The 23198-nt window shown below is 34.5% G+C and overlaps 1 long non-coding RNA gene across 6 annotated transcripts in view; it reads right to left on the reverse strand.

Annotated features, from left to right (window-relative positions):
- LOC107985709 (uncharacterized) overlaps positions 1–22716 on the reverse strand; it is a 56466-nt gene extending 33750 nt beyond the window's left edge. For 2 of the 6 annotated variants that reach the window (XR_001755952.1, XR_001755955.1), the window contains exons 1-5: positions 22634–22716; positions 14196–14227; positions 13182–13253; positions 8235–8369; positions 4795–5251 (exon numbers count right to left, since the gene is read on the reverse strand). This is a non-coding gene — a long non-coding RNA (uncharacterized LOC107985709). The remainder of the gene's footprint in view (positions 1–4794; positions 5252–8234; positions 8370–13181; positions 13254–14195; positions 14228–22633) is intronic. The other 4 variants (XR_001755954.1, XR_001755956.1, XR_007068367.1 and 1 more) reach the window with 3 other exon arrangements.
- Between the last annotated feature and the right edge of the window lie 482 nt (positions 22717–23198).

A 23198-nucleotide genomic window follows, 5' to 3' on the forward strand; every position in this document is an offset into this window, starting at 1 on the left:
ATAGTGACACAATCTATCAAAACCTTTGGGATATAGCAAAGGAAGTGCTAAGAGAAAAGTTCATAGCCATAAATGCCAAATCAAAAAGCCTGAAAGAGTGCAAATAAAAAATCTGAGGTCACACCTCAAGAAAATAGAGAAATGAGAACAAACCAAATCCAAACCCAGCAGAAGAAAGGAAATAACAAAGATCAGAGCAGAAATCAAATGAAATTAAAAGAAGAAAAACAATACAAAAGATAAATGAAATAAAGCCTGTTTCTTTGAAAAGATAAATGAAATTGATAGGCCATTAGCAAGATTAACCAAGAAAAGAAGAGAGAAAATCCAAATAGGCTCAGTGAGAAATGAAATGGGAGCTATTACAGGTGACACCACAAAGACAAAAGATCATTCAAGGATACTATGGACACCTTTGCATCATAAACTAGAAAATCTACAGGAGATGAATAAATTCCTGAAAATATAAGTCCCTCCTAGGGGACATGGATGAAGCTGGAAACCATCATTCTCAGCAAACTAACACAGGAACAGACAACCAAACACCGCATATTCTCACTCATAAGTGGGAGTTGAACAATGAGAACACATGGAAAAATGGGAGGGGAACTTCACATACTTGGGTCTGTTGAGGGGTGCAGGACTAGGGGAATGATAGCATTAGGAGAAATACCTAATGTAGATGATGGGTTGATGGGTGCAGCAAACCACTATGGCCTGTGTATACCTATGTAACAAACGTGCACATTCTGCACATGTATCCCACAACTTAAAGTATAATAATAATAATAATAAATTACCAACAACAAAAAAAGTCCATGACCAGGGGGATTCACAGCTGAATTCTACCAGACATTCAAATAATAATTGGTACCAATTCTATTGACACTACTCTACAGGATAGATAAAAAAGGAATCCTCCCTAAATCATTCTATAAAGCCAGTATCACCCTAATACCAAAACCAGGAAAGGACATAACAAAAAAAGAAAACTACAGACCAATATCCCTGATGAACATAGATGTTGAAATCCTTAACAAAATACTAGCTAACCAAATCCAACAACATATCAAAAAGATAATCCACCATGATCAAGTGGGTTTCACACCAGGGATGCAGGGATGGTTTAACATACACAAGTCAATAAATGTGATACACGACATAAACAGAATTAAAAACAAAAATGACATGATCATCTCAATAGATGCAGAAAAAGCATTTGACAAAATCCAGCATCCATTTATGATTAAAGCCCTCAGCAAAACTGGCATACAAGGGACATACCTTAATGAAATAAAATCCACCTATGACAAACTCACAGCCAGCATAATACTGAATGGGAAAAAGTTGACAGCATTCCCTCTGAGAACTGGAAAAAGACAAGGATGCCCACATTCACAACTTCCATTCAACACAGTACTGGAAATCCTAGCCAGAGTAATCAGACAAGAGAAAGAAATAAAGGGCATCCAAATCGGTAGAGAATCAAACTGTCACTGTTTCTGATGATATAACTGCATACCTAAAAAACCCTAAAGACTGCGCCATAAAGCATCTATAACTGATAAAATAATTCAGCAATGGCTGGGCGTGGTGGCTCACATCTGTAATCCCAGCACTTTGGGAGGCCGAGGCAGGTGGATCACCTGAGGTCAGGAGTTCAAGACCAGCCTGGCCAACATGGCGAAAACCTGTCTCTACTAAAAATACTAAAAATTGACCGGGTATGGTGATGGGTACCTGTAATACCAGCCACTTCGGAGGCTGAGACAGGAGAATTTCTTGAACCCAGGAGGCAGAAGTTGCAGTGAGCCAAGACTGGCGCCATTGCACTCCAGCCTGGGTGACAGAGTGAGACTCGGTCTCAAAAAACAAACAAACAGACAAACAAAACAAACAAAAAAAGAATTCAGCAAAGTTTTAGGATACAAAATTGATGTACACAAATTAGTAGCTCTGCCATATACCGACAGCAATCAAGCTGAGAATCAAATCAAGAACTCAACCCTACTTAGGAATATACTTAACCAAGGAGGTGAAGGACCTTTATAAGGAAAACTACAAAACACTGTTCAAAGAAATCATAGATGACACAAACAAATGCAAACACATTCCATGCTCTTGGATGGGTAGAGTCAATATTGTGAAAATGACCATACTGCCAAAAGCAATCTACAAATTCAATGTAATTCCCATCAAAATATCAGCGTCATTTTTCACAGAACTAGAAAAAAAATCCTAAAATTCATATGGAACAAAAAGAGAGCGCTCACAGCCAAACCAAGGCTAAGCAAAGAGAACATATCCTGAGGCATCACATTACCTGATTTCTAACTATACTATAAGGTCATAATCACCAACACAGCATGGTACGGGTATAAAAATAGGCACACAGACCAATGGAGCAGAAAAGAGAACCCAGAAATAAACCCAAATACTTACAGCCAACTGATCTTTGATAAAGCAAACAAAAACATAAAGTGGGGGAAGGACAACCTATTCAACAAATGGTGCTGGGATAATTGGCAAGCCACATATAGGAGAATTAAACTGGGTCCTCATCTCTCACCTTATACAAAAATCAACTCAAGATGGATCAGACTTATATCGAAGACCTGAAACTATAAAAATTCTAGAAGATAACATTGGAAAAACCTTTTTAGACATTGGCTTATGCAAGGACTTCATGAACAAGAACCCCAAAGGAAATGCAATAAAAACAAAGGTAAATACGTGAGAATTAACTGAATTAAAGGGCTTTCACATGGCAATAGGAACAGTCAGCGGATTTAACAGGCAACACACAGAGTGGGAGAACATCGTCACAATCTATACATCCAACAAAGGACTGATATCCAGAATCTACAATGAATTCAAACAAATTAGTAAGAAAAAAATTCCATCAAAAAGTGGGCTAAGGACATCAATAAACAATTCTCAAAAGAAGATATACAAATGGCCAGCAAACATGAAAAAATGCTCAACATCAGTAATGATCAGGGAAATGCAAATCAAAACACAATGGGATACCACCTTACTCTGGTAATGATGGTCATAATTCAAAAATAAAAAAAATAGATGTTGGCATTGATGCAGTGAAAAAGGAACACTTCTATGGTGCTGGTGGGAAAGTAAAGTAGTGCAACGACTATGGAAAACAGTGTGGAGACTTTTTAAAGAACTAAAAATAGAACTACCATTTGATTCAGCAATCTTGCTATTGAGTGTCTACCCAGAGGAAAAGAAGTCATTATATAAAAAAGGTACTTGCACACGCATGATTATAGCAGCATAATTTTCAATTGCAAAAATGTGAAACCAACTCAAATGCTCATCAATCAAAGAGTGGATACAGAAACTGTGGTATATATATGATGGAATACTACTCAGCCATAAAAATAAATGAATTAATGGCATTCACAGTAACCTGGATGGGATTGGAGACTATTATTCTAAGTGAAGTTACTCTGGAATAAAAAAACAAGCATCGTATATTCTCACTCATAAGTGGGAGCTAAACTATGAGGATGCAAAGTCATAAGAATGACACAATGGACTTTGGGGACTCAGGGGGAAACAGTGGGAGGGGGTTGAGGGATAAAAGACTACAAATCGGGTTCAGTGTATACTGCTCAGGTGATGGGTGCACCAATATTTCACAAATCACCACTAAAGAACTTACTCATGTAACCAAATACCACCTGTTCCCTGAAAACCTATGGAAATAAAAAAAAATAAAAAATAAGTAAATAAAAATAAAGTGAATGTCCTGGAGAGAGCATATAGTTGGATCCTGTTTTTTAAATTCATTCAGCCTGTCTGTATCTTTCGATTGAAGAGATTCATCCATTTACATTTAAAGTAATTACTGATAGGGAAGGACTTACTGTTGCCATTTAGTTCATTGTTTTCCATATGTCTGGTAGCTGTTTTGTGCATTTCCCCTCTTACTGACTTCCTTTGTGTTCTGTTGACTTTTTGTATTGATGTGCTTTTAATGCCTTATTATCTCCTTTCATGTATATTTTGTAGTTATTACTGTGATTACATAAAACATCGTGGTTACAGAATTCCATTTTAAACTGATAACAATTTAAACTGATAACATATAAAATTCAACTACTTTACTGCTCCATCTTCCACACTTTATGTTATCAATGTCACAAAGTATATCTTTCTATGTTGTATATACATTAACATTGACTTTTAATGTTTTTATCATTAAAATTATATGGACCAAAATCACAACAGTACAGGATATATTAGCCCATGTATTTACCATTACTAGAGAGCTTTATATTTTTGGATGGCTTTGTGTTACTGCCTACTGCCTTTTTTGTTTCAAATTGAAGGACTCCCACTAGCATTTCTTATAGAGTAGGTCTAGTGGTAATAGGCTTCTTTGGCTTTTGTTTATCCAGGAAAGTGGAGGAGTAAGGCCTGGAACAGGATTTTCCCTTACAGCCCTCAGAAAGAACCAACCCTCCTGACAACCTGATTTCAAAATTATAGACTCCAGAACTGTGAGAACATAAATTTATCTTGTTTTATCTGCTCAGTTTGTGGTGGTTTGTTATTGTGGTCCTATCAAACTAATACATCCAGTAACTTAATTACTGTGATGTAAAGTTAACCATTATTAAAACATCTTATGTTATAGGATAAGGGGATAATAAAGAAGAAAACAAAAATTTTATATACACTCAAAACAAAATTCAGCATACATATTGAAAATTATTACAGTACTCATAACTAAAAACTGATTGCATGGTTGTAGCTTCTATTTATACTTACCTTTTCCCACTTTCCATTGCTTGCATTCTTTGTTCTCAGCAAGAATGTCAGTTGGCCATGGTTCTTTGTCTGGTGGGTAACACAAACCTTCATTCTTGTAGGGTCTTGGCTACTGGTAGTCCTGCCTGGATTTGGTTGTCATAGTTTTCCATTGACTTTAACCACAGGGCATGGTAGCACTAACAGATATCCAAAAATATCTCCTGCCTCCCAGACATAGTCTTCCCTTACCTCTATTGTATAGCAACAGTCCGATTTATTCTTGGCAGTCAGGATCAATTGTTCCAATTAGCACAGTAACTAAAAATAAGCAAAATTTACTTAGAGGCATGAGAAGCCCAAAGTAGATGGGTAGCAGTCTTAACTTCTATTTCAATGAAATCATTCTTGGGTCTTCTGGTAGAAGCAGTCTTCCCTCTGGAACTATAATCTCTTGGCCAATACAGCATAAATTCATCTGAACAAGAAGAAACAATTTTGTTCATGGGTCAACAGAGGCAGTAGTGAGTGGTGTCACTCCCATTTCTACCCTTGATTTTTTGACACACATATTGCGTGTATAGTAGAACCAGCATTATATGTTGGACACTGATTCAGAGCATATACATCTTCCTGGAGAACCTTGCCCCAGCCCTGCAAGTTACTGCTACTTAGCTGCCACCATCACTGACTCATCAAAAGATTATTACACTGAGTTATCAGGCCAGCTGCTGCAGCATGGTGAGAAACACAGTAAAATTATTGAATTCCATGAACATAAGCATATTGCCTATAATTGCTGTGAAGTGAATTATTTAATCATAAATAATGGTGTATTATATACCATGGTAGTGTGTAAGGTATTCTGTAAGTCTGCAGATGATAGTTTTTTCAGAATCATTGTGTTCAGGGAAGGCAAATATTTTTCTAAAGTAAATGTCCATTCCAGTCACATAACAGAGTGCTGCTTCTTTCATAATAGAAATGGTTAAATGTAATTAATCAGTTACCAAATAGCTGTCTGTTCATCTGGTGAATAGTCCATATCAGAGACTCAGTGTTGGTTTCTGCTGCTAGCAAATTAGACACTCAGCAGTGGTGGTAACAAAATCAACCTTGATGCGTGGAAGTTTCTGTTGCTGAGCAATGCATAATCTCCCTCTCTGCCATCATGGCCATTGTTATGAGCCCACTGGTTAATACAGGAGTGTCTTGGAAAAAAAGTCTGATTGCTATCATCAGAATTGGTCATTCTATCCATTTAATTTTTTTCTCCATCCATCTGGGAATTTTCTCCTCTTCCTAAAATTTAAAACCAGCTTGAGCTTCTGCCTACTGAGAGAATTTTCCTTCACCGTTGTCATTCAGAGACGTCTCAGAAAGGGGCTGCTGTGCTGCAGCTGTCCACCTTCAGGTGGTACTGCATATCATATAGAACAATCTGTAAACCAGACCTGAGTTTTCTCTTATTCAGTGAAACAATCACAAGGAACTCCACATGAGGCTGTAAGAGTGGGATGAGTGAGTAAAGGTAATATAACAAGCGTCGAAACTATAAGCATTGGGGCTACTTTGTTACATAACTTCCTTGTGCCTTTGGGTTTACTCAATCATGATATTGTTTGTCACTTCCATTTAATAATGCAATGCTGTTGTGCAAGCTCAACTTTATAGATTCATGGCTTAGACAATATCCAGTTTATGATGAGAAACTCAGGTCATATGTTAACTTGGTGGTTCATAATCAAGCATTCATAATTTACTAAGGCCCAGTACCAAGCAAAAAGCCACTTATCAAAATGACAAAACCTTCAAAAAGCATCTCTATCTGCCATAGACACTTGAAGCACCATTGGATCTGTTGGCTCATGTGGCCCAAGTGACAGAACAGCTTGCACAGCAACCTGGGCCTTCTAGAAAGCCTTCTCTTGTGCTGGACACCACTTAAAACTAGTAGCTTTTTATTTCAGTTGAAAAATGTACTGGAGTGGTATACCTCAATGAGATATGACTGCCTCCAATGGCTAAAGAGGCCCATTAGATGTGTATTTTTCTTTTTCGGTTGCACAAGGATTCAGATGCACTCATGTATTCTTCATCTCAGGAAGTATATCGTGACATGCTCCACACCACTGGACCTCTAGAAATTTCACTGACATCGAAGGCCGCCAAATTTCTGTGAAATTTATTTTGTTACCTTCTAACACAAGGAAATTTTTTACCAATAATCCTAGAGTAATTGCTACTTTCTACATACTATATCCAATCAGCAAAATACTATCAATGTAATGGACCAGCATAATGTCTTATGGAAGAGAAAAGCAATCAAATTTTCCTTACATCTATGATGGCATAGGGCTGGAGCATTGATATACCCATGGAGTATAACAGTAAAGGGGTATTGCCGGTCTTGTCGGCGGAAAGTCAACTGCTTCTGGTGGTCTTTATTAACAGACGTAAATAAAAAAGCACTTGCTAGATCAATACCCACATACTAGGTGCCAGGGGATGTGTTAATTTGCTAAAGAAATTAAGTCACATCAGATACAGTGGCTGTAATTGGAGTTATGACCTGGTTAAGCTTACAATAATCCACTGTCATTCTCTAAGATCTATGTGTTTTCTGCACAGAACAAATAGGTGAGTTTAATGAGATGTGGGGGGGAGTATCTTTCAAGTCCATGGTTGTGACACTAACCTCTGGAGTTCCTCCAGAAATGTGGTACTGCTTTTGTTTACAATTTTTCGAGGTAGAGGCAGTTCTAGTGGCTTTAACTTGGCCTTTCCTACCATAGTAGCCCTCATTCTGCCAGTTGCTGGATATTTCTATTTCAATTATGTATTCTGAAACTGAGGGATTTACCAAAAGATGGGTTTGGAAACCCTCTGAGCTCATTGTTTGATGGATCTGAGCTAAAGCATCATTGACCACACTAACTCTACAAACCAAAAATTCGACTGGTTACACTTAGTAGTATTTTTGGCCACCTGGAATTAGTGTGAGTTCAGAACCAGTGTAATTATGGCTAATAATTAATGCCCAAAAAGTCTGATTATTTGCTTTTTCCCAATGCACAGTAACCCTAATAGAAGACTTTAGGTTCATTTGGGGAAGTCTGGGAGAAAGATTAATGGTATACATTTTTGGCAGTATAGTAGGGTTCTTCTCCACAGGAGCCTGGACTCCCATTCATTCAAGAAGTCGTAGGTCTGTAAAGTGACTCAAGTTTCAAGATTGATTGAGCGATTATAATTTTCTGTTTTGGTGATTCATATTACAGAAGTGTTTGAAGTCAATTACATAATTGACAATAAAGAAATAATTACAGTCTGGTTTGCAAAGACCAATCATATTGGCTACTTGATCAGGATTTTCATTGACGATAAACAGGCAGTTGACGAAATGCTTTCTTGATGTGTGCCTATCTATTTCCCTTGCCAATTACTGTGACCATACCTACCTTGACTTTGGCAATTAAGTGTTGCCACTTGGCCTCTGCAACCCCAGAATCCATTTAAAGATTCCTGTTTAGTGGTCACCCCATTGATTTAGACATCCTTATTCATTGGCAGTAGTTCCCACTGTAATTTCTAACCTAAGGGAAGGAGAAACGCCAGAGTTTTTCAGTAATGCCAGGGCTCCACTTGCAACTTTATATGTCATAGTTGTAATGACAGAAGTCTTCTGTAGACCCTTCTGGAATGGGTAAGCAAGTTTTACATAATAAATTCATTGTAAGTTTTCAATCTCCCTAAGCCTTTAGATACCTTCTTCTACAGTATACCAAGGAAGTTCTGGTACTTTATTTTTATTTAGCATGGGCACATTTTGGTCCATATTTCAGCCAGCCATCCAAACAAGTTATTAGAAAGCTCTAACTTAAGCTGCAACATTGAATACGCTCTGCTTTGTGGGCCCATATAAAAAATTCAACTTGATATAATGGTATGTTCCATTCACCATTATTCCACATCCCGAATATTCATTCCCGTATATATTCTCCACATTTTTGTTTATTCATAAATTGGAAAACATCATACAGTTCTTTTGGAGTATAGTGCACTTCCTCATGGGTAACACTTTGTACCTTACCCTTTAGGGCCTGCTGGGACTTGTGCCTAGTTATAGGTCTAAAAGCAAAGAAAGACATTAGGGGTAGGTCCTAAAGAGACACAGAAGTGCCTTATAAGGGAACTACCTCTGGGAAGGTCATTAAAATTCCTCAGGCAAAGACAGGGTAACCTCCTCAAACAGGGGTAGAAAAGCTGCTCCTACTAAGAAGAATCATCAACATTTAGGGGTTCAATATTCCCAGCTTCATCAGGATCTGTCCATATGTGCCCAGTCCAATTTTAAGATTCTCAGTCCTTCTCATCTAATACTCTTGTCTTAACAGAAGATATTTTACAAGGTTGAGAATTCAAGTCACTTTGTAATTTATTCACTCACAGGATGAGTCTCTGGATTTGGTTTTCAACACTCTCAACCCTGTGACTATGGAAGATAGAGTTTTCTCAGGGAAGACATAAAAACTTTCAGATAATTTATCTGGACCTTTAGCTGGGAATTATAAGCCTTAAGCTCATGCTTCACTTCCTGCCCATCCACTTCCAACAGCATAGTTAGAAGAAACCAGCCAGTTACATTATTCTCATTAGTTTGACAAAATGTTCTAAGGTATCGAATGCCTGGTTACTCAGAACTTTGCCTTTTTGTAAGGGGTTTTAGTTTTCTATTTTTAAAATAACTATTAGATTAGGGGTATTTAAAGGTGATATTTCACATATCTGTATTGCCACATTATGCCATTGACTATCAGTGTCCTCTTTACCAATAAAAATAGAGTAATTAGTGCCTTGAAATCTAATAAGGTTAGAGAAGAATGTCCAAAAAAAACAAATAATTAAGAAACTAATTTTTAAGATTATGTTGCTGTGACAATCTCTTGGTACCAAAATCTATATCATTTGGGGTTTCCAGAGAAACAGAACCAGGAGAGACAGACAGAGAGAGAGAGAGAACTGATAGATAATTAATACAAATAAAGATAAACATATATATCTTAAATAGATTGGTAGATAAAGAAGTCTATAGATTATCTCAGTCTATTTATCTCTAGAAGCGTCTATCCGTCTATTTATTTTTCTACCTATCTGTAGAAATACATTTATTGTGAGAAATTATCTCACGCAGTTGTGGGGGCTGGCAAGTCTGAAATTGGTAGGGCAGGCCAGCAGTCTGGAAAGTCAAGTAGGAGTTGATGCTGCAGTATTGAGGCAGAATTGCTCTTTTTTTCAGTTAGCATCCATTTTCATTCTCAAAACCTTTGAACTAACTGGGTGAGGTCCTACTCACATTATCCAGTGTAATTTTTTAGATTTAAAGTCAACTTATTGTAGATGTTAACTACATACAAAGAATATGTTCACAGTAATACACAGATTATTGTTTGATTATTATAAATAATTGGGGACTATCTTCTAGCTAATTTAACACAAAAAGCTAATAATCACACGTAGCATCTACCTGAAATATTACTATTTTTGTTAAAAAATCTATTTAATTTTTTAAAGATTAGATATCGATCTAAAATGCATTCTATCTAATATAACTTTAGAACTTATCTTTGTAAATGAATATATTGTTCTGACTCATTTGAGAATAACAGAGGATTGGAGATATTGAATGTTATGGGTTGACACGTGGTCACCCAAAATACACATGTTGAAGTCCTAATCCCCAGGGCCTCAAAATGTGACCTTATTTGGAGATAAGGTCTTTACAGAGATAACCAAGCTAATGAGGGATGATTACAGTTGACTGCAATACAAAATTATTGATGTCCTTATGAAAGGGGAAAATGTAGGCACAGGGGTACAGGTAGAACACCATGTGATGAGACACAGGGAGAAGACAATCATCTGTAATTCAAGAGGGATACCTGAAATAGATCTTTCTTTCACAGCTTCAGAAGGAACAAACCTCACTGACACCTTGATTTTGTATTTCTAACTTCTAGAACTGTGAGAAAGGATTTGTTTGTTTGTTTAAACCACCCAGTTTGTGATGCCTTGTTATGGCAGCCTCAGCTGTCTTGAACAGTTCTTTACATGCCTGATTACTTCAGTACCTGTCTTCTAAAAATAAAAGTAAAAATATTCTCTTACATAGCCAGAGTATAATTATTACAATCTGCACATTTGATATCTGCTATAATACTATTATCTAATCCACAGTCCCTAAATACATTTTTACCATTGTTGAAACAATGTATGTTAAAGCTATACAATTTCCCTATTCATCATCGAATACAGGAGCATGCATTACATTTAGTTTTCATATCTCCTCAGTCTCTTTTAATTTGAATCAGTTCCTTATCTTCTTTTTATAATCCTTAATATTTTTTGAAGTATACAGGCCTGTTATTTTGAAGTATATCCCTAAATATTAGATATTTTCTCATGATTATGTTTAGTTTATACATTCTCATTATTATGTTTAGTTTATACATTCTAGCAGGGATAACAGGAAAGTGATATAACCATTCCAAGGCATCATAATAGAAAACAAGTGATATGAGTTTATTTTATTATTGGTGATTTTAACTTTGATTACTTATATAAGGTGCTGTCCTCCAGATTTCTCCACTTTCAAGACACTTTTCCCCTCTTTTTAATTAATAGGTAGTTTTTGAGAAGATACTTTGAGATGATATAGATATCCTGTTCTTTATTAGACTATCACTCACAAGCTTAAAATTTCAGTGATAATTTTCTAATTCCATCATTCCTTCTACATTTACTAGTTGGCATTCTATTTTTTCTCCCCCATTTACCTATTTACTTATTTTTATCACTATGGAAGTATGGATTCTTACGCTATTCAATAAGTTATAATCCATTACTATTAGTATTTATTTTGATGTTTAAATGTTTTCACAATTGGCCCAGTATAGGGTTTTTCAAGATGACTTTGTGTCCTTTTGACATGTCCCCATGATTTTTTGAACACTTTTTTACTTTCTAGTATAAGAAGACATCTAAGATCATCTTGTACATTCCCTATCTCATTCCTTGGGGGGCATGCAAAAACTTGATATTGTTTTTAATCCTTGAGATGTATAAGAAGACCATTCAAGATCTGTGGTAAGATGCCCTAGGAACAAGACCTTCAATCTCATAGGAAAATAATTTCAAAACCTATCTAACATAATAGAACTGAAGTATCCACAATATATTGTACATAGCATGGATTATGTTCACCTAGAAAATTTTTAAGGCATGTGTAACCAATACCCTCTTTAACCAATAAGGGATTACAATAAAATAGACATTAAGAATTTCTAGAACATGGACATATGTTGTTATCAAGTGAGTTTCCTCTTGCTAGAAGACAAAGTCATTGCTCTTCATTTTGTGTCCCCTACGATGCTGAAAACAGTGTTGAGCATATAATATTGAAGTGAATTATTTATAAGAAGTGTGGTCGCAAGACATCTAATTCAAACATGCCTGATGGCATGGGATTGCATCCCCTTAATACTTTTTAATGTCTATTTTATTGATATTATTTTTATAGTTAATGTGGTTATTAGTTACACATGCATGAATTATTTTCAAGGTTAAGATTATTTCATCCATGATATATAAAATCTCACACACGCAATGTATAACAATTATACCTATATATTTTATGGTATCCTCTCATCAGAATGGTCCCTTGTAAAAGTAGGAGAGGAAAAAGAATATTCCAGGGATGGCATTGTTTTTTGGGTCTTATTACAGAATCAATATTTTCAAGATCCTGAGTAGTAAAAGCTACCTGAACCAATTGAAACAGTTTGGTTCTTTTGGCGTGTGCTGAATTCTCAAACTCATTAGGCTCAGCATTCCACTCCTCCTATGCCAAAGCAGAAGGCTCAACACTGAAGTCAAGCAAGCAACGTGAGGCTTCCTGTCACAACAGGTAATTCTTGGCTCTTAAAAAGCAAATACTTTGCAGAAGCGCAGGTGTATCTGTATTTCCCCCATGAGTCTAGCAAGTTATTTTCATGGTTACCTGAATCTCTTATTCTGCCAGCCATAGTTTTCTTATCCATGCTATCACTTCAGTCCTCTAAGAAAAGGCAACTCCACAAGTTCAGAGGTTTCCACATTTGTTGAATTTTAGATGTTCAAATCACATTGTATTTAAAATTGCTTGGGGACTGTTGTCATTGCAAATAGGTAATACAACAGCTTTGGGCTTACCAGCTTCCCTGATATATTATCAACTCCATGTTGTGGATTATTTGGGCACATCTGGCATTTGAGTTTCTACTGACATAATTGCAAATATATCATGTGTTGAGATCTCAGCTTTTATACTGGCTTCCTAGGAGAACATTTGAAAATAACTCTCTCTTTACCTCTCATGAGGATTATTGCTCAGCTGTTCAAGCTCACTAACCACTCCTCTGTAGAGAAGTTGTGGAGGAAACCTAGAGGGGAAAAAAAAAAAAAACATTTCCAGAAGTGTCTCAATAGATCCACTGGCAATCTACCATGGTTAGTTTAAAAATATTGAGATGTTTTGGGGACCCTCAAACTTTTGAGGTGAAGGTTATGTTCTGGCATCCTTGTTGGTGAACAATAGTCTCTAATAGTTAAACACTTGCTATTCATACATCCACAAATATATTTTCTTTGAAGTTATTAACAAATGTAAAGGTTTCCCCATACATACTAGATAATTATTTTCTCATGACTCAAGAAAATGTCACTGCCAGATATGTCCACTCAGTCATATTCACACAAACTTGAAAAACAACCTAATGCTGTAAATTGCATTGTTACCTGTTACTTTTAAACAGTACCTTTACATTAAGGCACTTAGCAATGTTAAGAAAGAGAACATAATGAAGTGACAAATCATATTTATATTACCATGATGTCTAGCCATTTGAATAGTAAATATAGATCAATATCCTACCTGCCCATGTGTTGCAAATGGCATCTGGATTTCATATCTGCAATGATAATATGCCAGCTCTTTCCCTAGTGATCTTATTAGTTGTCTGCTACATGTCTAAATAATAAGATACTAAGGGAGTTGTAGGTAGCAAATAGGCCCTTATTGTTAAGATCTGTAAGTATGGAAAATAACTTATTTCTTAGAGATATGACAGTTCACTAATTTCTACAGATAAGTCAGGGTACATTGTGAACACTGGTTTAAAAAACCTGAAATAGGATAAATTAAAACTGTGAAATTTGACACTAAGGTTAAGGCTGACATTAAGAATTTTAGTACCTTTATTCCAAGTTAATCATTATTAGTATAAAAATAGAGATTTCCAAAGTGATGAGAATTTTTTGCAGTGGTGTTCAGCAGATAGGAAGGCATCAAACACTGTGCATACGGTTGGGGGATACAAGCATACCTTGGCAACAATGTGGGTTTTGTTCCAGACCACTGCAAAAAGTAAATGTTGCAATAAAATTAGTCACAAGAGTATTTTGGTTTCCTAGTGCATATAAATGTTATGTTTACACCATACTGAAGTCTACTAAGTGTACTGTAGCATTATGTCTAAAAATGTACATACATTTATTTAAAAATATTTTATTGCTAAAAACTACTACTGATCATCTGAGCCTTTAGTGAGTCATAATCTTTTTGCTAGTGAAGGGTCTTGCCTTAATGTGGATGGATGCTGACTGATCAAGATGATGGTTGCTGAAGGCTGGGATTCCTGGAGCAATATTTTGTAAAATACAACATTGAAGTTTGCCACATCAGTTGACTCTGTCTTTCACAAAAGATTTCTCTGGAGCATGCAATGTTGATTTACAGATTTTTACCTACAGTAAAATTTATTTCAAAATTGAAGCCAATCCTCTCAAACTCTACCACTGCTTTTTCAGCTGTTTGTGTAATATTCTAAGTCCTTTCTTGTCATTTCAACTATGTTCAAAACATCTTTACCAGTAAACTTCATCTCAAGAAACTACTGTCTTTGCTCATCCATAGGAAACAACACCTTATCTGTTCAAGTTTATCATGAGATTGAAGCAATTCATTCACATCTTCAGGCTCCACTTCTAATTCTAATTGTCTTGCTATTTCCATCACATCTGCAGTTACATCCTCCAATGAAGTCTCAAATTCCTCAAAGTCATCCATGAGTGTTGTCAAGAAGAGCATTTTTTTAGGGTTTCTTTCTAGGATTTTTTATAGTTTCAGGTCTTACAATTAGGTCTTTTGTCCATCTTGAGTTAATTTTTGTATATGGTGAGAGATATAAGGGTCCACTTTCTTTCTTCTGCATATAGTTAGCCAATATTCCAGGGAAAATTGGAGTAGCATTTTTAATTTGCTTCAAGATATTTCCTTTGCATTCACAACCTGCCTGATCGTTTGACACAAAACACCTATTTTTCAGCTGATCTCGGCTCTTGATGTGTCTTCCTCACTCTTCTTAATTATTTCTAGCTTTAAAGTGAGAGATGTGCAACTCTTCCATTCACTGAACTCTTAGAGGCCATTGTAGGATTATTAATTGGCCTAATTTAAATATTGTTCTGTTTCAGGGAATAGGAAGGCCAGAGAAGAGTGACAGACGGGTGAATGACTGGTCAGTGTAGCAGTCAGAACAAACAACATTTATCAGGTAAGGTATGGGTGTGGTTCATGGCACACCAAAGCAATAACGATAGTAACATCAAAGGTCGCTGATGACAGATCACCATAACAGAAATAATAATAATGGAAAGTTTAACATATTACAAGAATTTCCCCAATGTGATATAGAGACACAAATTGAGCACTTGCTGGTGAAAAAATTGTGCCAATAGAGTTGCACAATGCAAGGATGCCACAAACCTAATTTATAAATAATGTACTATTTGTGAAGCAGAATAAAGTGAAATGCAATAAAACAAGGCATGCCTGTATAATACAATCAAGTTACACAAATCTTGTATGTAAAAATAAATCCAGTTGTGTAAATTTACAAAAAATGTCCTAAGCATGTAAGACCAAAAGGTGTTTTAAAAAGCAATCAAGGGAGGCAGTGTTTCATGATAAAGCACTAAACCAAGTATCATGAGCCTTGGATCTGGTTCCAGTTGTCTGACCAACAGGGATCTCAGTTTTTTTTCTTATATCAATAATTATGTTACTAGCCACCGTATATTAAAAGGTTGTCGAGATAATCAACTGGAGTAATGTATTTGAAAATATTTTGAAAGGGTAAAGTGTTATATAAAGGCAAAGAATTATTACATGGACTATTCAGGAAAAGTTAGATTGAGTCTTGTCAAAAATGGGTGATTAACTAAAATGTTACCAAACAGAAAACCAATAACATTGTAAATATTGAACTCTCAAAAGAGAAGTAATTCTTCCTAGTGACTTTGATGTCAAACTAGTCCTCACAGATGATGGAAAGCTATAGATATACATATAGATGGTAGAGATAATATATTAATAGATGATATAGAGATATAGATATAGAGTACCTAAATATTGCAGAAGTGACAGATAAAAGCTATATAACTTCTAGATGTCATAGAATATGGCTTCCAAGGTCTAGTTAGGCTTTCCTTTCAACAAATTTGGTCAGGTTTCCTAAGTGATTTCTAAGTTGTGTTTGTGTGTGTACATTATAGTGACATAGGAAAATTTGATTTGTTTTGAGTACATCTGTGATCTGTGATACATGATGTAGTGCAAAATGATATGATTGTTAAAACTTGACATTGGAACACCATATAATTAGTTCACATCTCCTAATATGAGATCAATACAGTAAAGATTTTTTACAAAGCAGCAATTTCTTATACATGAAAATGTAGAGGCAATGGTAATGTGCTAGTAATAATTCAAAAATATTTTAGGAAAAATTTGCCAGTAATTTCAAAACGGATAAATATTGTTGCAAATTTGATCTACCAAATAATGAAGACAATTAAGGACAACTTATTGTTTGTGCTGTTATATTGGAACTAATGTTTGTTATTTATTTGATCAGTTATTTAATAATTTATTCCTTTGTGTTTTTAATCTTAGTTGGAAATACACTTTTAATGGATCACACAAAACCGCCAAAAATAATATTTGATAACAAGGCTGAATCTTCAGAATTAGGAACAGGATCTTCTAGTCCCCAGAGGTTTATTTGCTTTAAAAAAAGTTTTTGTTTGTGTTTTTAGTTAGCATTTTTTTTTCTCCTGTATACAAGAACAAATTTCTGATTGATTTAAGATGTTGACAAGTGAATCCATGTCTCAGCATTAAAATGGGCCTGGGCAATTGCATTATTCACTTCAAAAAGTGACACTGATGAAGCACTGTCTAGGAAACACTATAAGAGATACAATTTATACTGATTTTTGTGGCCTATACTGATTTTCTAAAGAAGGAAAAGCATTTTAATTTCACTTGCAGTCTCTTATACTTGAAACTAAAAGGAGTCTACAGTTAATACATTGTTCTAAATATTATTTTTCCCTTCCTATTCATGTATGGGTCAGCTCTCCAGTTGTAGGGCATCTCACGTATTTACTATGTAGAAAGTATTAGCAGTAGCCACGCACATAGAAATTCACAGACACACTAAAATGCAAAATTTAAAACAAGACATTGAAATGTATATGCACCCAACAACCTGCTATTGTCCTTTTATTGGACCAAGTTATATCAAAACACAATTTTGGAGAGATAGTTGTATAGCCTCTTGCCTGATCTACTGTACACATAAAATTTAGTAATTTTGAGCTAAAACAAAAAAAAAAAGGTGAGTCAAGTAATTATGCACATCAAATTCTTAATAACCTCCATAAAAAGACTTCTATGGTCAATTTCTCATTGCTTTAAGTTTCCCAAATGAGTGGATGGGGCTCAGGGTGAAGGGTGAGTGGAAAATTGAAAGATGTGGATTATTTTTTCTTGGTGAGGCCAGTTTGAATTCTTTTAAACATTGCAGTAATATTTAGAATATTAGTCAATGATGTTAGAAAAGAGAGAAAAAGTGTGGAGGAATGATGCATCAGGTAGAATGACAATAAACAATAGTTCTTGAAAGCCAGAGATAGAAAAGAATTAGTAGTCATCTGGAATGACAAAAAAGTTTTATTTTCAGAATAAAATAACTAGGAATACAACTAACTAGGGAAGTGAAAGATCTCTACAAAGAGAACTATAAAACACTGCTCAAAGAAATAAGAGATGACACAAATAAATGGAAAAGCATTTGATGCTCATGGATAGGAAGAATCAATATTGTAAAAATGGCCATATTGTCCAAAGCAATTTATAGATTCAATATGATTCCTACTAAATTACCATTGAGATTCTTTACAGAACTAGAAAAAAAAAACTATTTTAAAATTCATAAAAACCTAAAAAAAGGAGCCTGAATATCCAAGGCAATCCTAAGCAAAAGAAAAAAAGAAAAAAAAAAAAAAGCAGGAGGCATCATGCTACCCAACTTCAAACTACACTAGAGGGCTAAAGTAACCAAAACAGCATGCTACTGGTGCAAAAAAAAAAAAAAAAAAAAAAAAAAAAAAAGAGAGAGAGACATATAGATCAATAGAACAGAATAGAAAAGCCAGAAATAAGGTGCATACCCACAACTATATGATCTTTGACTAACCTGACAAGCACAATTAATAAGAAAAGGATTCCCTATTCAATAAATGGTGCTTGGAGAAATGGCTAGCCACATGCAGATGATTGAAACTGGACCCCTTCCTTCCACCATGTACAAAAAATAAGATGAATTCAAGACCTAAATATAAAACCCAATATCATAAAAACCCTGGAAGGCACCCTAGGCAAATAAAATTGAGGACATAGAAAGGGGCAAACATTTCATGATGAAGTTGTCAAAAGTGATTGCAACAAAAGCGAAAATTGACAAATGAGATCTAATTAAACTGAAGAGTTTCTGCCCAGCAAAGATAACTATCAACAGAGTAAACAGACAACCTGCAGAATAGGAGAAAATTTTTGCAAACTATGCATCTGTCAAAGGTCTAATATCCAGAATCTAGAAGGAACTTAAACAAATTTACAAGAGAAAATCAAACAACCCAATTAAAAAGTGGGCAATGGACATAAACAGACACTTTTCAAAAGAAGACATACATGCGGCCAACAAGCATATGAAAAAGAGCTCAACATCACTGATCATTGGAGAAATGCAATGACAACCATAATGAGATACCATCTCACACCAATTAGAATGGCTATTATTAAAGAGTCAAAAAAAAAAAAAAAAACCCAGATGCTGACAAGGCTGTGGACAAAAAGGAATGCTTATACACTGTCGTTGGGAGTGTGAATTAGTTCAGCCATTTTGGAACACATTGTGGCGATTCCTCAAAGACCTAAAAACAGAAATACCATTTGACCCAGCAATCCCGTTACTGCATACATGCCCACAGGAATATAAATGGTTTTATTGTAAAGATGCATGCACAAGTTTGTTCATTGCAGCACTGTTCACAATAGCAAAGACATAGAATCAACCTAAATGCCCATCAACGATAGATTTGATAAGAAAAATATGGTACATATACACCATGGAATTCTATGTGGCCATAAAAAGAATGGGATCATGTCCTTTGCAGGAACATGGATGGAACTGGAGGCCATTATCTTTAGCAAACTAATATAGGGACAGAATACAAAATATCACATGGTATAACTTATAAGTGGGAGCTAAATGATCAGAACACATGGACAGGAAGAGAACAACAGACACCGAGACCTTTTGGAGGGTGGAGGGTGGGAAGAGGGAGAGTATCAGGAAAAATAACTAATGGGTAATAGGCTTAATGCCTGGTTGATGAAATAATCTGTACAACGAATCCCCATGACACAAGTTTGCCTGTATGAAAAATGTGCTCTTGTACTCTGGAATGTAAAATAAAAGTTAAAAAAGTGTTATTTTCTTTGCACACAAGTCAATTGGTTTTGGTTTCTAGGGCTGTGAAAGTTTATTTGATCATATCTAGGGTCAGCAAAGCATAATAGCATGATGAATTATACATGTTTGCTTATTGTTATGTTTTTGCTGATCTCAGTGATTTCTAGCCTACCTTTATTTTTCTTTTAAATGGGATTTGAAAGGTTACAGAGCAGCAAAGACAGGACTAGAATCCAGGTCTTTTGACTTCTATTTTATTACCTTTTTCTACTATGTGATATGCCTTTGGTAAAAATGTTCTATAAAATCATATTTAGGAAGGTACAATCAGCAAATACCATCCATTTACAAAAGAATTAACATGATTTTTAAAATTAGAATTAGGAGATTTTATTGGGACATCATCATTCTCCAGACATGTATCATTTGATACAGAGCTATGCAGAAATATTGAAACTCATAAAGGAAGATAAATTAGGGAATAATTATCTGTCTACATCATTAGTATATAATGTATTTAAATAGTCTATTTTCTCATAAAAAATAACATAATATACATCATAAATATATGGCTTATAAATACCTTCAAAAGGAAACATCTATTACATGTTCTTTTGAGGAGAAAATAGCTGCTAATGAATGGCATCAAAACAATAGGAATATTTGAATCAGAAAAAAAAATTAAAAATCCCTCCAACAGAACTGGGCTATATAGTAAATAGATTAGGAGAAGCGATGCTCTAAAAAGGTAATAATTAAATAATCTGAATATGTGCACATCATCAGACTCAAGAGTATAAAACTAATCAATAGAGAAGAAATCAGGTATAATTTTTAAAACAAGACAGAAACAGTCTTAATAATGAAATGAAAGAGTGTAACTGTTATAAAATAAAATAAAACATATCAACATAATTCTTAAAATTACAAGTATATATATTTATTGCAACAATTAAAACAATATATGAATGTATTTTAAAAGTTTAATTTCCAATAATCCCCCTATCCCTTTTCCTATTAACTTTCTCCCTGAGATAACTGACAACAGCTGCCTAGTTCGTATCTGAGACTTGGTAATTTATAAAGAACAGAAATTTATTTTTCACGGTCTTGGAAACTGGGAAGTCCAAGAGCAAGGCACAGCAGGTTAAGGCATGGTCTCTCGGCTTCCAGGATGATACTTTGAATACCACATCTTTCGGAGAGGAGAAACACTATGTCATCTCATGTCACAAGAGCAAAACAAAGAAAACCCACCCTTGCAAGCCTTTTTTATACAGGCATTAATTCATTCATGAGGATGGAGCCCTTATGACCTAAAAACCTCACTAAGTCTCCACCTCCCAACACTATGGCATTGAAGTTCAAGTTTCTAACACATAAATTGAGGGGAAGACCCATTAAAACTATAGCAGCATTGGTGTAGATATTACAGCTTTTTCGGTTATCTACTTTGTTATTTCCAAATTTGTTGTTTAGGTATTGATTTTGTTTAAAGCACCTTTTGCCTTAGAAAAATTATTAACTTTTGTAAATGAAAGTGCTTATTTCATTTTCTTTTACAGATATTAGGTTTCCTGTCTTGGTGATGAACTTATTTTCCAATCCTACATTGCTTATTTAGTCTTGTACATGTTTTAAGATTTTTAGTTCATCATACATTGCTTTTAATTCATGTTCTTATTTTGATACATTGATGAATAGTATTATTATTTATTTTCTTAGGGATGTCTAGAGTCGTGATTATCCCTTATATGAAATAAACTATTCTTTTACCACTGAATTGAAAAACCATTTTTTTACTATATTAAATTCTCATTTGTCATAGGATCTGTTTCTGAATTCTTTCCTTTGTTCCAGTAAAATATTTCTTTATTCCTATGTCTATACAATATTGACTTGATTATAATAGCTTTATAGAATATTTTGATATCTAGTAGGGCAAGTAATGCTTAATTATTACCTTTTATAATTTTCTTAGATATTCTGATCATTCTTTCAAATAAACTTTAAATAATTTGTGTTTCTAAAATAAACAGACTTACTAATATAACTATAAGATTATATTTGGAATTTCATTAAATGCATATATTAATTTTAGGATAATTTACATTGTTGTGATATAAAATCTTCCTATATAGTAGTATAATATTTATTTTCAGTATTTCAGCTAAGTCTTGAAAGAGAACATTATTTTTCAAATCATTATATTCTGTACTCAAAAAGTGTGACTCGGGTAAATATAAGCTAACGGCCATTGTCTAAAATGACAATCAACAAATTCATGAGTCAATAGAAACAGTAGGACATAACTATGAAAAGAACATACATAGGCTTTGAATTTAATTTGATTTTGACTCTTGAACTTACTCTAGTCAATCAGTCTATCAGAGTCTTAGATTCCTCAACTGTAACAAGCATGTAATACATGACAGCGCTGTGAATATTACATTCTGGTACCCAGAAAAGTGCCAAGTAAGCACATAAAAAATATTTAGTCATAAAATCCACTTTGTGATGCAATCTTCAAGTTTGGCAAGCTTCAATTGATTTTAATTTTGCTCTATTCATTAATATTATACACCTTAAATCTTTTCTGCTGTGTCTGTGTCTATATTAAAAAAACACCATATACGTAAATGAATGTTTATACTTTAGGATTTCCAAATACATTTTTACTACCCATGTGGACAACTTATGTTAATTGAGTAGAACATAAAAAACATTGTTAATCACTGCATTAACTTGCTATTTCTCTTTGCAGCTTTCAGAAACGGGGTGCTTTTTAACCTGAAGTATACACATATAATAAAGGCCCTTCAAATAGTATACATTAAATGGAACATTTTTTTCAGTGCTATTTTCTATATCTTATTCGTTCATGTAAGCATTTATTTAAGTATTTAAGTATTCATTCACATAAGTATTTACAATGTACTTACTATGTAGCAGGCACTCTGATAGGCAGTGAAAATAAAAGGATAAGCATACAGGAACAGTCCCTGACCTCATGGAGCTTATGCTATAACAGGGAGACAGAAAACAGATAATTAAATATAAATTGATAAACTATAATCATGGTGAGTAGTATGAATTTAAAAAACCTGTAGGAGCATTTATGCAGTGAGAGAAGGAGAATCAAAATTGAAACCTGAAGAATAGATATGTGTTAAGTAATTGAAGAAGGAATGAGGCCAGTGAGGCTAGAGAATAGAGCAAGAAGAGTAATACAAAATTAAGTTTGGAGAAACAGGAATGGAGCAAAATTTGGAAACTTATTGTAAGAACAACAGAAAGTTACTGTAAGATTTTGAATGGGAATAGTATAATTGAATCTATTATTTTAAGAAAATTACTGCAGAGTAGAAAATGAAGAAAGTCAAGAGCACGTATGAAAAGACCAAAATAAAATGATTATCCACTGAAATTTAAATGCTATCAGCTCAAGAAAGCTACATGAAAACATTTTTAGATGAATACAATTTTATTAATCAGCTTGATCTTTCT

The sequence above is a fragment of the Homo sapiens genome, chromosome X (assembly GCF_000001405.40).
Source record: "Homo sapiens chromosome X, GRCh38.p14 Primary Assembly".
NCBI classification, from domain to species: domain Eukaryota; kingdom Metazoa; phylum Chordata; class Mammalia; order Primates; family Hominidae; genus Homo; species Homo sapiens.